Below are 16259 nucleotides of genomic sequence, written 5' to 3'. Positions count from 1 at the left end.
AATGAGCAAGACCTCTGCTGTGATATCCGGAGGCCTAAAAATCCCTGGCATTACTCATGACCCACACTGGATATATACACGAGCCCTGGTATAAGTGACTGTGCTTAGGGCCTTAAGCCATTTATGCCGGAGGTTGCAATTTTTTGAATTGCAGACATGTGTGAAAAATTCAGACCTCGGCGATGACCTTGAGCAGTAGGATATAAATAACTCCTACAAGCTTAACATTCCAATAATGGAACACTAGGCATAATTAAGAAGAGTCTTGAGTAGATAATAGGATCTACTCACAGCCTGGTTCTGAGGCTGTACGTCCTTGCTTGCTATACCTGCATTGTGAGAATCGGGAAAACACCAGAGTGCAGTCAGAAGATGGTATTAAAACTATTCAATGATTTAACATTTACTCAGCACCTGCCTGGGCCCAGGGTTTGTGCTGGGTTGGGAATAAGAGGTAAATAAGGCCAGTTCTTGCTCTTAAGGAGCCTAAAGCTCATGGTGGATTTTAAGCTGGTGGGTACAAATCAACAGATAAGGCTAAAGATAAAGATAAAAAAACAAAGAGCAAAGATGGTACAGATGACAGAAAAGCCAAGTCCCTGGGGTTGAGGACCACACAGTCCAAGAGAGAGCTGTACTCCAGTGGTAGCGAAAAAAAGTGATTAGAAAAGACCTTGAGAATAAGCCACACAAATAACAGAATACGGCTTCATGACTATTTTCTAGACACTTCCCACCCCGCTCCCACCTAACTTACAGCGATGCCAGTTTATGACTAACATCTAGGAGCAGGGGGTGAGGTCAAATGGCTCCCACCACATCCAGCCTCTGGAGCAGCATTTCTCAAAGTGAGGTCTATGGACCCCCTACCTTGGAATCACCTGTTACAATGCAGGTTCCTGGGCCCCACTCCAGGTTCCCATTGAGAACCTCCAGGAAGGGAGCCTGGGAAGCCACACTTCTACAAACTGTCCAAGTGACTGTGTTATACTCACTGAAGTTCAGGAACTCACTCTGAAGGCAAAGGGGAGCAAGATATAGAGCACCGGGCTGGCTGCCTTTCCTGCCATTTGCTGTGAAGAGGTTTTTTTCTTTCTTTCTTTCTTTCTTTTTTTTTTTTTTAAGACACAGTTTCACTCTGTCACCCAGGTTAGAGTGCAGTGGTGCAATCTTGGCTTACTGCAACCTCTGCCTCCCGGGTTCAAGTGGTTCTCATGCCTCAGCTTCTCAAGTAACTGGGATTACCAAGCCTGGCTAATTTTTATGTTATTAGTAGAGACGGAGTTTCACCATGTTGGCCAGGCTGGTCTCGAACTCCTGACCTCAAATGATCCACCCACCTCGGCCTCCCAAAGCGCTGGGATTACAGGTGTGAGCCACCATGCCTGGCTGCAGTGAATAATTTTATTCCACATCTTCTTTGGCTATCCCTGCCCAGCCTTTTGAGAGATTCCTGCTGCTGCTAACAACAGAGGTTGTTCCCCAAGCATAGATTATAGACAGGAGAAATGTTGAGAGTTTTCTTCCTGAAATATCAGGTAGAAGGAATGTCAAGGGAGAAGATCCCTGTGCAGGAGCGGAACACGGTGACTTCAGGCAGACAATGATCCCCACATCAAGCCGTGCTGTATGGAAGAGGATTTTCAGGAAAACTTTGTGGTGCTCATTAGCTCAAATTGTCTGGGGATCACAGTAAGTCTTGAATATGCTACTCCCCAGAATAGCATGCAAGTTTCCCCTGAACCACCAATCCAGCAGCTTTTGGGTTGTTCTCAGGAGAAAGAGGCCAGACATTGTTTCTTTTCCGGTGCGATTTTCTTTTCCACTGAAACTGTGGCAGCTGCCACATGGCCTGTAAAAGGCGGCTGGTCCCCAAACTAGACTCTCCTTCCCGAACTCTGCTCCTCTCCCCTGCTTATAAGCATCAATCACACAGACAGTCCCCTAGACAACAACAGCCCCATTATGGGACATAGTAAGATTGCACATTCCACATTTATGCTGAAATAATCACTTACTGTTAATCACTAACATCATCAAGTGTTCTAGAGAAATGTTAACAGCCTAAAGGGCAAATATTTTTTTTTTCCTCTAACGTGTTAGCCATGATGGATTCATATGAGCCTGGGAAGAGGGGAAGGAATGATTTATTCCCAGGAGAAGAGATGCACCCTGTCACCTGCTTGATGAATAGAGACCACGCTTCATTAAGCTGTAGATAGATCAAAGCTGGAAGGCAAGGGGAAGCCAGGAAAGAGCAAATAGCAGCATCGTAGGAAAGTGATCTTTAAAAAGGATCAAACATTTCATCAAGTCCACATCCCGGATTGCAAACCAAAAGATCGTGGGGAACCTGGAAAAGGTTCAGAGATGAGGCTTGCAAAACAACCCCAGTGAGGAAAAACAAAGAGTAGGGAGGTTGTTGAGCATAGGAGAGCAGGCGGCTGTCCAACTGGATACATTGTCAAGATGATGAAGTTTTGTTCCAGAAGGTTGCTGGCCAATCTGTTTCCCTTCAGAACCCTAGGACAGCACCAGAGATTTCACTCGATAGGGAAAGTTATTTCTGCTGGGAAATAACGAGAATCATGGACGTGGCCGGGAGGGCCCGAGGATGCCACAGCTCTCCTCTAGAGGGTCTTCAGGGGACAGGAGGGGAGCTATGCTTGAAGATTCCAGGTGCTCTGACCAGGGAATCTTCCAAATCTCATTTCGCAACGGTGTCAAGTCAGCTCTTTTCACACCTCTGTCTCACCATCCAGTCAGCTCGAAGGGCAGCCAGGTGACATTTAGGGGGGTCCCAAGGTCATTCCACAAAACGTGAAAGCCTCACATTCTCTTTTCCTTTGTCCTGCCCAGTGAGATGTGCCCAGGATTGTGAGGACTATTTTGCTGAACGTCTGTACAAGTCGATGAAGGGTGCGGGGACCGATGAGGAGACGTTGATTCGCATAGTCGTGACCAGGGCCGAGGTAAGACACACTCCGACTCCAAAGAGGCGGCTGCAACTTCTCTTTTTTCCACCACTGATGTCATCAACAAATAGTTTCTATTAAGGGCCTATTTACAGAAAAAGTAAAACAGAGACGGCCCCTTGCCTTCCCAGAATTTGCAGAAGACATTGTGCTCTGCTTCAATCTGTTTCTTTTTATAAAAATACAATAATGATCGTTGCTTCTTTTTTTGTCCTCTGTGGCTCTGGAGAGCTAGTGGAGGGGCGCAGAGGCAACCATGTCGAGCAGTTCTCAGGGGCTGCAGCTATGCATGGCTCCATGTTAAGGAAGACAAAACAAACACACTTGAAAGAGGTCAACCAGCAGCAGGAACAAAAAGAGAATGATTTCTGAATTCCTGAGTGAGGCCTTTCCTTAACTGAACACACTGCAGAAGCAAGCACATCAGCATAAGGCAATGGTTCTCAATCTTTTTAAAAACTATTGCTGTTCTAAGGAACCTTTTTAGACACGTGTTTCTTCATTGCCATCCCTTCCCCACAAGAAATGTTAACACCAGAGATAATACTACAAATCTGTTTATATACCATGTGGATATCAGTGCTTTATACATAAAAAAATTAAGGGCTTTTTCACCCCCTAAAAACCAATTTGTGCTTGCTCTCGGAGAATGTGTATGTATAAGAAAGAAAAGGGAGAGGAAGAGCCAACGGCTTGGGAGCAGCCGTCAAGATCACAGCTGGTCGGGTGCAATGGCTCATGCCTGTAATCCCAGCACTTTGGGAGGCCGAGGTGGGTGGATCGCCTGAGGTCAGGAGTTCGAGACCGGCCTGGCCAACATGGTGAAACCCCGTCACTACTAAAAATACAAAAATTAGCTGGGCATGGTGGCACACACTTGTAGTCCCAGCTACTCAGGAGGCTGAGGCATGAGAATTGCTTGAACCCAGAAGGTGGAGGTTGCAGTGAGCCAAGATGGTGCCACTACACTCCAGTCTGAGTAACAGAGCGAGACTCGGTCTCAAAAAAAAAAAAAAAAAAAAGGTCACAGCTAACAGTTCGGGATATGGGGCCACAGACAGAAGGTGGTACAAAATAAAGGGGAAGTGGCATTTCATCGGCAGCAGGAGAAGCCTTGGGGAATGAAGTGGAACTAAGCACTTGAAAACCACAGACATCTTCCCTCAAAAAAAAAAAAAAAAAGTGGTTAAATGAAGGGGGAGGTGAAGGGGGAGGGACACCAACCCAAATTCTGATCCATGGCTTCTTAACAAATAATGCTTAACATCTGACACTGTTTTTAAATATAACTTTGCAACAAGATGGTTCTTGCTTTTTTATTTCTATTCCTGGAATTTCTCCTCCCCTCCTTTCTCCTCCTCCACAACTCATCTTTTTCTATTGAAGGCCATGTCTCTCTCTCTCCCCTCTTTCCCTTTGCCAGTCTCTCTGCTCTGCTCCTGCCATGCCTCTGCCTCTCTCCTCCATGGCTCCAAATCCCTCTCCCTCCTTTCTCTCCAGGTCTTCTGCCTTGTCCGTCCCTCTGTCTGTTAGCAACTCGACCTCCAGCCAAAGTCACTGAGAGATGAGAGATCTTGAGGGACTCAAAAGGGACAGGTTGAACACAATGAAGACCCAGGATTCCAAATGACCCCCAGAGAGACTGGATCCATCCGAAGGGCTTGTGAGGGTTCCGTGATCACTCCGACATGGCCCACGGAGTGTTTTATTCCAAGAAGCTCTGTCCCATCTCAGAATCAACCACACGTCCTGGGCCATCTCAACATGTGGGCAGTTACCTCAGAAGGCTTCAGGCCTGGCTAGATATAGTAGTTTGGCCAGATTTCCTAATCTCCCAAAGCCACAGAACAGAGCCCTGTGCACCCCATCCCTACCCACCCTCCACCTTCCTGCCCGTGTCCCAGCACGGGGCAAGGAGCCAAGCAGCGGAGCAGGGGGACACACAGGCTGGGGGAGAGACAGACACCACCTGTCTCCTGTAGTGTCTGCCACCTGCTCCACATCCACTGCAAACCCTCCCTCACTCCCCCACATACTCCCATCCTGATCATTTCTCTCACTGTCTCAGCTCAGCCCTCTCACTGGGGCAAGAGAAGAAAGAATCAGATCCCTGAGCCACACTTTTTGGGTCTGGAGTACAAGGTAGGGTCTAAGCCAAAAAAGAAAAGAAAAGAAAGACTCCTGGTTAAAAAGAGTTCTCTGCTTCTTTTATGAGATCCATTATGTTCTACCTGGAATTACATCTTTTCTGGTACAAGTATCGTCTCCTTTGCTAGGCTGTAAGAATCTTCTGGCAGAGCAATCTTTGGATTTATTTTTCTCCTGAGTCCTATCATCACTTCTAGCACCTGGGTTTTTCAAGCTTCCAATAAATTAGATTCAAAATAAATCCTACAAGTTGCTAGTGATTTGAGTTGTGTTGACTGGTACTAATATCCTTGCTAATCATGGTATGAGGGAAAAACTGCTTAATTGCTTAATTCCACATCTCTGTGTTGACAATTTTCTTAGTTTTATACCAGGGGTCAACCAACTACAGCCTGCAGGCCAATTCAGGCTCACTGCCAGGTTGTGTACAGTCCTGCTAGCTTAGGGCAATTCATTTTCAAATAACTGTTAAAACTCAAAAGAAAGATAATACTTTGTAACATGTAAAAACTGTATGAAATTCAAGAGTTTTAGGGCCAGGCACGGTGGCTCACGCCTGTAATCCCAGCACTTCGGGAGCTGAGGTGGGTGGATCACCTGAGGTCACGAGTTCGAGACCAGTCTGGCCAACATGATGAAACCCCCGTCTCTACTAAAAATACAGAAAAAAATTAGCCAGGCATGGTGGTTGACTGTAATCCCAGCTACTTGGGGGGCTGAGGCAGGACAATTGCTTGAACCCAGGAGGCGGAGATTGCAGTGAGCCGAGACTGCACCATTGCACTCCAGCCTCGGCAACAAGAGCAAAGCTCTGTCTCAAAAAAAAAAAAAAAAAAAAAGAAATTCAAGAGTTTTAGTGGAACACACACACACGTGGACACCTCTGCAACCTTTGGGGAATTGACCTCTGCCTTCCCTTTCCTGATCACAAAATTGAAATAACGTGATAAAGGAAATAATGATAGGAAATAAAGCCCTATCTCAAGGGCTGTTTTAAGGCATGAATGAGCAAATGAGTATAACATGTGTAGAACAGTGCCCACTGTTTGTGAACACACCATAAACGTTCTTATCTCCATTGCTGTTATTTTTTCTACAGGTGGACCTTCAGGGGATCAAAGCAAAGTTCCAAGAGAAGTATCAGAAGTCTCTCTCTGACATGGTTCGCTCAGATACCTCCGGGGACTTCCGGAAACTGCTAGTAGCCCTCTTGCACTGAGCCAAGCCAGGGCAATAGGAACACAGGGTGGAACCGCCTTTGTCAAGAGCACATTCCAAATCAAACTTGCAAATGAGACTCCCGCACGAAAACCCTTAAGAGTCCCGGATTACTTTCTTGGCAGCTTAAGTGGCGCAGCCAGGCCAAGCTGTGTAAGTTAAGGGCAGTAACGTTAAGATGCGTGGGCAGGGCACCTTGAACTCTGGCTTAGCAAGCATCTAGGCTGCCTCTTCACTTTCTTTTAGCATGGTAACTGGATGTTTTCTAAACACTAATGAAATCAGCAGTTGATGAAAAAACTATGCATTTGTAATGGCACATTTAGAAGGATATGCATCACACAAGTAAGGTACAGGAAAGACAAAATTAAACAATTTATTAATTTTCCTTCTGTGTGTTCAATTTGAAAGCCTCATTGTTAATTAAAGTTGTGGATTATGCCTCTATCAGCTGCTTTTCCAAAGATTGTCTTGATAAGTTTGGGCTCTTCTCTGGGAAATGTATGACTTGTGAAATTCAAACCTACATTTTTTAGTGGTCACTAATCAAGGCTAGTCATAAGGAAACAATTCACTTGCTTTTGTAAACTGTAACTAAGGGTAAAATTCCCTAATCTGCTACCTGGTTTAACTGGGTTTTCTTCTCTAGACATTTGACCCACTTGAGTCTTCCCTCTGATCTTCAAATACAATTAAGCTGAGCAAAGTGCCAACAAGATCAAGATCAATGGTCTACCTCTGAAGTGAATTGGTTCCACACCAATAGATTCTGTGTTCCAAAACTTTAGTCTCATAGCCACGTGTTGCTAGACATAGAGGGATCTGTCAAGAGAACCTGGACACTTTGGCCCAATAATCATAGTTGTCATTCATTGGCTGATTATTTGTGCCTGACACTGAGTAGTCCAATTTCATTCTTAATCCTCCCCACAGCTCTATGTGGTTAATATTACTCCCAATTATCAGTTGAGGAAACTGACACATTAAGTAACCTATCTAAATTCATTTACAAGTGCTGTTTTCACACTGCTATAATTACCGGTAAAAAATTACCAAGACTGGGTAATTTATAAAGAAAAGAGGTTTAAGTGACTCACAGTTCCGCAGGGCTGGGGAGGCCTCAGGAAACTTACAATCATGGTGGAAGGGGAGGAGGCACGTCTTATGTGGCAGCAGGAAAGAAAGAGTGGTGAGCGAAGCGGAAAGAGCCCCTTATAAAACCATCAGATCTCATGAGAACTCCCTCACTGTGACGAGAACAGCATGGGGGACACAGACCCCATGATCTAATCACTCCCACCAGGTCTTTCCTGGGGATTACAATTGACACATGAGGATTACAATTTGTGATGAGATTTGGGTGGTGACATAGAGCCAAACCATGTCAACTAGCATTTCAATCCAGGGCTGGCTGACACCAGGAATCATGCTACTAACTGCCTTAATTGGAAAAATCAGTTGAAGTACATGGGAATGGGTCTGTATTCATTCATCTGCTTAGTTCCCTACTATCTGCCAATCACTGTGGTGTGCTCTGAGGATACAAAGACAAGTAGAACACTGACTCCCCTTGGGGCAGTTCATTCCCAGGTCAATAATGTCTCTTTTATTCAATAGAATGCTGTAAGTGCATTAATAAGAGCAGTATATTTGTTCATTTTCACACTGTTCATTTTCACACTGCAGTAAAGAACTACCTGAGACTGGGTAATTTATAAAGAAAACGGGTTTAATTGACTCACATTTCCACCTGGCTGGGGAGGTCTCAGGAAACTTACAATCATGGCAAAAGGTAAAGGGGAAGCAAAGCACGTGTTACATGGTGGCAGGAGAGATGGGGGAGGGGAAGTGCCACACTTTTAAACCATCAGATCTTGTGAGAACTCACTCACTATCATAAGAACAGCATGGGGGAAACTCCCCCCATGATCTAATCACCTCCCAGCAGGTCCCTCCCTCGACACATGGGGATTACAATTCAAGATGAGATTTGGATGGGGACACAGAGCCAAACCATATCAAGCAGGTAAAGGGCTCTACCTATGAGTAAGAAGAGAGAACACACAGCTCTGCATGGGGAACTGGGGAACACTTCCCAGAGATGCATTTGTGCTGGGTTTTAAAGAATGCATAGAAGCTCTCCAGAAAAATAAAAGAAGAAGGGCACAAGCAGAGGCTGGAGAAGCCTGAGTGGGCAGGGTGTGTTCAGGGAGAGGTGAAATCCATTCTCCTGGGGCACAGATGTGTGGAAAGAAAGGAATGGCCCTGGCAGGCAGGCAAAGCAGCTGTGAAAATAGGTTTGAACCACATCAGCCATGGTTCTGCCTGCCAAGCATGAGTTTGGTCCTCTGGGCAACAGCAGTCATTGGAGATGTTTAAGCGAAGAACATGATCACATCTGGGCTTTGGGAAATCACTTTAGTGGCTGCTAGACATAGAGGGATCTGTCAACAGAACCTGAACACCTTGGTCCAATAATCATAGTTATCCTTCATTGGCTGATTATTTGTGCCTGACACTACTAAGTAGCACAATCTCATTCACACCATTTGGGGTGTGATCAACATATAACAAACAGCCCAATCAGTTAAGGATAGATGCCATAATTGTCTTTTTAGTTGCTACAAAACAGTGATGGACATATTAAGAAGTTATGTTAACATCAGTGTCTTCCACATCCTGGTTTATCTACTTAATAGTCATTGCCATCATTATAAACTTTAATACATAAAAAATTATTTTCTAGAACCAAGCTCAGTGACAAAACGTATTTGTATTTACCTATTTGTTGCCAAAGCTGGTCTTTGCTTTTATAACCAGAAACAAAACAACCAGTTTTTGGGATCTGAGCTCATGGTAAGGACAGAAAAACAAATCAATGGACTGAAAAGAGATCTATTAAAAACAGACACAATTTGAGATTGTTGATGGCCATAATTCACACAGAGACAAGCAAGAAGATATTTTACAGGTGGAGAAACTGAGGCTGATAAGATGGAGAAGCCAGGTCATTTACTCAAGATCACCCACATAAAGTACCAGGGCCAGAATTCAACCCAAGTCCTTCTGCCTCTAATGCCCGTGCTCTTCGCCAGACTAGCTCATGGTCCATGAGTGCTTTTGTCTAAAATTTTGCTGAGTGAGACATCAAGGTTCCTTTCTGTGGCTGCTCAATATTGCTCATCACTTGCAAGCTGGAGCCAGTTTCTAGGTATTCGCCTAGGGTCTGGTCTGCCCCAGGTATGCCCCTCTGTGAGAGAGGTATGCCTCTCTCACAGAGGCAACTCAGGAATGTCTTCTTTTTTCCCTTCCACACACCCCTGCCCTGCCCAGGTCCCTCTGACTTCTCCCTGTGCCCCCAGCCCGCCTGCCTGCAGAGAGAGGGAATGGGGAGGATAAAAATAGAAAGAAGGGAGAGAGGAGAGCATCACCATCTTGACATCTCCCCACTGCACAGCCCTGTTCCTCATACTAGCCCCTTCCTCTAGGGCCACTAAAGGAATGCCAGCTCCTGCCACCCAGATGCTTAGATAGGTAGGGGGCTCCAAACCCCACCTCCAGGGATGCACAGAGGAGAGCATATTCTGCCAAGGTATGCCATTCCCCATGGAATTCTGTGCCAGGCCCTGACTGTGCTCCACACTATTTCTCACTCACAGTGAGTCACCTGGGTTTTGTGGGTGAATAGATTCTGGGGAGCTGGTCTGGGTGAACCATAGAAGAAGCTGAAAGTCCTCCCACCCCACCCCAGGAGCCAAGGGTGTCCCATGACTTACTGTGGGAGCTTCAGCCCTCCATAGATCCCTCTCAGCAGTGCCAGGGCTTCCACGTGGCTCCCCCATACAGGCCCACCCCTCAAATGTGTGGGTCCAGCCCATTTCTTCAGCTTCTGCGTCTGTCCTGAACTGGGAGGGACCTATGAGGACAGCTTGGCCCACCCAGCCAACTTCTTTCCACAACCTGCTATGGACCTTGGGAAGAGACCCGCAGCAACCCTGGAAGCTCAGGGCTCAGCTCAGGGCTCAGGGCAGGGCATTTTGAAGTCTCAGGAGCTAGGTCAAGAAAAGGGTGTCCAAGCCACAAGTGGGTGTGTCTCCTGGACCCCAAGGACTTCCCAGCCCACAGGGAGGGGCACAGCAGCTGAAGGCAGGGAGGCATCCTCCAGAGTGGGCCAGGGCGGGACACCAGGGTCCAGGGTGGGACATTGCTCCCATGAGCCCCTTGGAGTGGCACTGGCCACTCACGTTCTTAGTCTTCTCTGGCCTCTAACTCTCCTATTTCTTCTGCTCAGGTTGCTGGGACCCTACATGGGCCTCAATCACATCGAATAGGCAAAATGCCTTCCTGCATGCATGCACACACCTGTGCATGTGTGCACACACACACACACCCCACTTCCTTCTGCTGCACAGGTGGCACTGCCTAATCTGGACTTCTGGGGCCTGATGGAGACTGGAGGCAATAGCCCTTTGTCATTTCCTTTCAGCCCCACCCCTCACCAGTACTCAGGCTTTCAAGTCCAAAGGGCTGGAGGGCAACTGGCCAGTCCCTATTCCAATCATGTAATGGGCCTGAACTGCGAGCCATGCACCGGGCACTGTGCTAGATGCTGAGGGTTCCAGGGCAAGCCCCTCACACCTCATTCTGCCCTTATGGTGCTTCTTCTGGTTTGCAGGGAGACAAACAACTGTCAAGTAAACAAACCCAATCGGAAATTGAGCATGGTTTATAAAGCCAGCCATAAAAGAAAGAAACTGGAGCCTGTGGTGGGTGGTGATGGGGGCTGGACTGCAAGGGAGGGAGCAGGGAACTTCTTTACATGGGCAGCCAGGAAGCCTCTCTGAGGAGAGACTGAGGGGTGGGAGGAACCACCCATACACTAGGCAAGGGGAGTTTTGAGCACAGAGTACATGGGGATGACATACAAAAGAACAGAAGTGGCCAAGAGATCCCTGGACAGCCAGTGGCTGATGCTGTGTGAAGGAGGACAGAGCGAGGGGTGGTCAGGGCCCTGGTGGAGCAGCACCTCACAGGCCACAGTCAGGTGTTCGGGTTTTACTGTAAATGTACTTTTGAGGTACCAACCCGTCCTTCCCATGGGGGTGTCCCACATTCAGGCTCCAAGGTTCCACCCCTTTTGGTTCAAGCTCCACATTCCCTATGGTTCCCAGTGTGACTGGGACCAGGGACCATGTGGTATCACCCAGCCTCCCCTGAGGCCCTAAACCTTGTGCTGAGCCTGGGTCCCCATTCCAGTCTTCCCTCCCTCTCCTCATGGTGAATTCTTCTTTGAGGATTTTGGTGTCGTTTCCCACAAGATGACCTCAGTCAGGACCATGTGTCAGAGAGTTTCTGGAAACACTGGGTCCCACTGGGTCACAGTCAGGGGCTGTGGTGTGTTGGTTGATGTTTAACAATCAGCGGTGGGTGGTGGGAAAGACTGATGCATAGCATTTGTCCATTTCCATGGTGTAAATACTCTCACCATGCCAATTTCAAGAAAGTGCCATGACGACATAGAGCCCTGGCTTAGAAAAGCAGAGTAGTAGCACACGGATATAGAGTGTTCCCACCAAACACATACAAGAGACGTCAATAACTTGAAAAGCATAGTCAATAGTAAAATGAAGTCCATAATTAGGAATGAATTTTGAGTATTTATTACATCTGTTATCAATATATTTTCATTGTACATTTATATAACTTAATTTTTTAAAATGTTTAGCAACCAGCTTCTACAAGTGTTGAAAAATTAGCAATTGGCTCTTATGAACCAATAGGAACTGATGACAGCATTCCCCTTGGTCTAGGTCTTAATCTCAATTCTCCCAGGGGACTCCAAAGACAATCTGCACCCTGTCCTCAGGTACCAACCAGTATGAGAAGAAATAATTATCCTGAACGCTGTTTCCCTGGAAAAATGAGCTGCTACCCACTGTACATTTTAGGGTCACAGTGAATCGTTGTATAGGTTGGCTACTGTGCAAAGCTGCCTGGCTGAGGGGATATCTGGGGTCTGAAATTGAGCCCTCGTTCTCCCCACACCAAGACTTTGCTGCAGGTCGGTAGCTGCTTAGAGAGGGTGCTTTCTGCTAATTTGCACAGAGGGAGCATCTGGGCTGGTTCTGGCATTGCACACAATCTATTTTACTTAAGAGGGGTTGAGCCATTCAAGAGACTCCTGCCTGGACAGAACGCCTTGTTGCCAGTTTCTTATTTTAAAAATTTTAAGTTCTGATGTTCGAGGCACCCCCGTATAACCATATCATCAATCCTTGTAAATCTCTCCTCAGGAGAGTGTTGAAAAGGGAAGATTAAGAGGAAAAGGGAGATGAAAATAATGGTCTAGATGAGACAGGTTTTACCACGTAAAGGAGCGAGGTAGAGAAGAAGCGAAGGAAGCAGATCGTGACGAGGGACAAACGGCTGCTTTTCAGTGGATATCGGCCCACTGAGGGTCAGACGTGACAGCCCCCAGAAGACCCCACCATCCTCAGCCACAGGCAACGTGTTCCTGGCCAAAGGCGTGCAGCCTGACTCCTTCAGCAGCAAGAGACGAATGCACAGAGCTCCTCCAGACTCCAAACAATGTCTCAAACCATGTTAGAGCCAATCAAAATGCCTCAGATAAGCCCCCAGAAAGTAGATAAGCTGAGAAATAAGGGTGCCAGAAAACCAGAAATAGTATTCACCTCCCCGTGCCAATGAGTGAAAGCCCCCAGAAGAGATGTTAAGTCAGCCTGTCCATATTGAGGCAATTTCTCTCATGATCAGGGCATAGGGTGCAGACCAGTATGTTGGGAGACATAGGATCAGGAGAAAGAAAAGAAATGGCCAGGGGTGCAGGAAGATTATTCAAAATAAACTCTTCATTTTATTTTATTTCTGTAAATTTTAGATTTACAGAGAAGTTGTAACAACATTAGCAAGAGTTCCTATATACCTACTGCCAATTTCCCATATCACTGACACTAATACGGTACATTTGTCATAACTTATAAATGAGAATTGATACATCACAGCTGAGTAAAGCCCAGACTTCCTTCGCTTCTCCTTAGTTTCTACCTAATGTTGCTTTTCTGTTCCAGGTTCCATCCAGGACACCACGTTACATTTGTTCATCGTGTCTCTTTAGGCGCCATCTGGCTGTGACAGTTCCGTAGATATTCCTTATTTTTCATGACCTTGACGGCTTTGAGGAGTACCAGTCAGGAATTTTGTAGAACGTCCTCTCAATTTGGGTTTATCTGATGTTTTTCCCATGGCTAGACTGGGGTTATGGGTTTGAGGAGTATCATAGAGGTAAAGTACCATTCTTATCACATCCGATCAAGGGTACGTGCTATTAACATGCTACCAATACCACATACCACTGTTGAGGCTGACTTTGAACACCCGGCTCAGATAGTGTTGGTCAGGTCTCTCCACTAAAAAGTTACTCTTCTTGTTCCCCCTTTCTGTACTTTACTCATTAAAAGGAGGTCCCCACCTGCAGCCCATGCTCAAGGGATGTAGAGTTAGGTCCCACCTCCTTGAGGGGGAGTATCTACATAAATTATTTAATATTCTTTTAAACAGGAGATTTGTCTGTTCTTCCCCATTTATTGATATAGTCACTAATTATTTTAAATCAGTATAGATTTATGATAATTTATTGTATACTTTGGGTTATAACCCAATAGTATATTATTTATTTTGTTGCTCAAATAGTTCCAGCTTTTTCTGTTGGGAACTCTTGCAGTTGGCTTCTGTGTCCCTTTGACGTACCCTCTCATTTTGCTTTTTCAGTATTTCTTTAGTTTCTGGAATGGAAAACCAAATACCATATGTTCTCACTTATAAGCAGGAGTTAAGCTATGGGTAGGCAAAGGTATACAGGGTGGTATACTTTTGTTTTCCATTCCTGAGTTATTTCATATAGAGTCCTACGAGATGCTCCAGGCCCATCTTGCACATTCCCTTTCCCAGCCCCAGAATCAGTCATTTCTTCAAGGAGCCCTGACTCTTTTTATTGGAAAATGGGGTTGGATACCAAGATGTAGACCCTGGTTCTGCTCATTGCTACTGGGGTGTCATTGCTTCTGAGCCAACTCAGCAGTCAGAAGTAGGAAATATAAGTATGTATACTAACCCAATGATATGGTTTGGCTGTGTCCCCACCCAAATCTTATCTTGAATTCTCAAGTGTTGTGGGAGGGGCCCGGTGGGAGGTAATTGAATCATGGGGGCAGGTCTTTCCCATGCTGTTCTCGTGACAGTGAATAAGTCTCACAAGATCTGATGATTCTGTAAGGGGGGAGTTTCCCTACACAAGCTCTCTTTTTTCTCCTGCTGCCATCCACGTAAGATGTGACTTGCTCCTCCTTGCCTTCCACCATGATTGTGAGGCCTCCCCAGCCATGTGGAACTGTAAGTGCATTAAATTCTTTTTCCTGTATAAATTACCCAGTCTCAGGTATGTCTTTATCAACAGCATGAAAACAGACTAATACACCATGTATACACACACATCTTTTTTTAGTTTCAATAGCTTTTGGGGTACAAGTAGTTTTTGGTTACATGGATGAATTGTATAGTGGTGGAGTTTGAGATTTTAGTGCAACTGTTACCCGAATAGCATACACTGTAAGAAATATGTAGTTTTTTGTCCCTCACCCCCTTGCCCTTCCCTGCTTTTTAGTCTCCAAAGTCCATTATACCACCCTGTATGTCTTTGCCTACCCATAGCTTAGCTCCTACTTATAAGTGAGAACATATGGTATTTGGTTTTCCATTCCTGAGTTACTTCTTTTAGAATAATGGCCTCCAATTTATCTATAATTATTTATACATATATGTAGGTAGATGATATAGACATAGACATAGACATAAATAGAGCTATAGACATAGATATAGATCCATCTGGATCTATATTCAGCTAAACATGAGTTCATACAATGTCTTCAACATTCATCCAATACCATATGGTTCATGCTACAAGGGTAATTTTGACATCTTGAAAACAGCACAGCTAGACAAGATAGTAGGAAGGCAGCTCCTATAAAAAGGGGCCATGAGCCAGGCAGAGGCGCTCATGCTTGTAATCCCAACACTTTAGGAGGCCGAGGCAGGAGGATCACTTGAGTCCAGGAGTTTGAGACCAGCCTGGGCAACATGCAAGACCCTGTCTCTACAAAAAAAAAAAAAAAAAAGACAATTAGCTGGGCATGGTGATATGAACCTGTAGTCCCAGCTACTTGGGAGACTGAGGCAGGGGAATTGCTTGAGCCCAGGAGTTTGATGCTACAGTGAGCCATGATTGTGCTAGTGCACTCCAGCCTGGGCAACAGAGCAAGATTCTGTCTCTAAAAAAGTGGGGAGGTGGGGAGGCCATGAGAAGAATCAAAGCAAATCACGTAATGCCCTGCATGTGGACTGATTGTACTTCCATTTTGGATGGCAGAATTTGTGCCCAAGGCAGGCTGTCACTGAGTGCTCCTTGGATCTCCGCCGCCTGGTACCCAAGGAATTGTCCCAAGGCTCTGAAGAGAATGTCCCATGACTTCTTTGTGACTAAACCAGAAATACTGATGTCTTTTGTTCCTAACATAAACAACGTTAAACAAGCCCAAAATGTGTACAGTCAATGTTAATACCACACAAGGGAAGGGAAAAGAAAGAACATCCGAGAAATATGAGTACAAAATGGGGAAACTAAGGAAGCTAGCTTTTGACCAGTCCCTGGGGAGTCTGCAGGGCTTTTGCGACGGGATTGGGCCTCTTCCTGGAAAACAGGCCTGCAGCCGGGAGGGCCAATCTGCTCAGCAAGCATTTGAGTGAGAGGAGTTAGTGGTTTCCACGGGGGCTGCCGACTCCATAGTGTGATGACTGTCTTCAGCATCACAATCAAGTGGGGTTTTATGTCAGTCTCCTTCTGTT

The 16259-nt window shown here is 45.8% G+C and overlaps 1 protein-coding gene across 2 annotated transcripts in view; it reads left to right on the top strand.

Moving 5' to 3' along the window:
- Positions 1-6788, top strand: part of ANXA13 (annexin A13) — a 56600-nt gene extending 49812 nt beyond the window's left edge. For both annotated transcript variants that reach the window (NM_004306.4, NM_001003954.3), the window contains 2 exons: positions 2860-2972; positions 6223-6788. In NM_004306.4, coding sequence (NP_004297.2) covers positions 2860-2972; positions 6223-6342 — 233 coding nt within the window. In that variant the 3' untranslated portion in view covers positions 6343-6788. The remainder of the gene's footprint in view (positions 1-2859; positions 2973-6222) is intronic.
- The last annotated feature ends 9471 nt before the right edge of the window (positions 6789-16259 follow it).

This window comes from Homo sapiens, chromosome 8, assembly GCF_000001405.40.
Source record: "Homo sapiens chromosome 8, GRCh38.p14 Primary Assembly".
Taxonomy (NCBI): Eukaryota; Metazoa; Chordata; class Mammalia; order Primates; family Hominidae; genus Homo; species Homo sapiens.
Note: the sequence above shows the minus strand (reverse complement) of the source record. Positions and strands in the feature narration are given on the sequence as shown.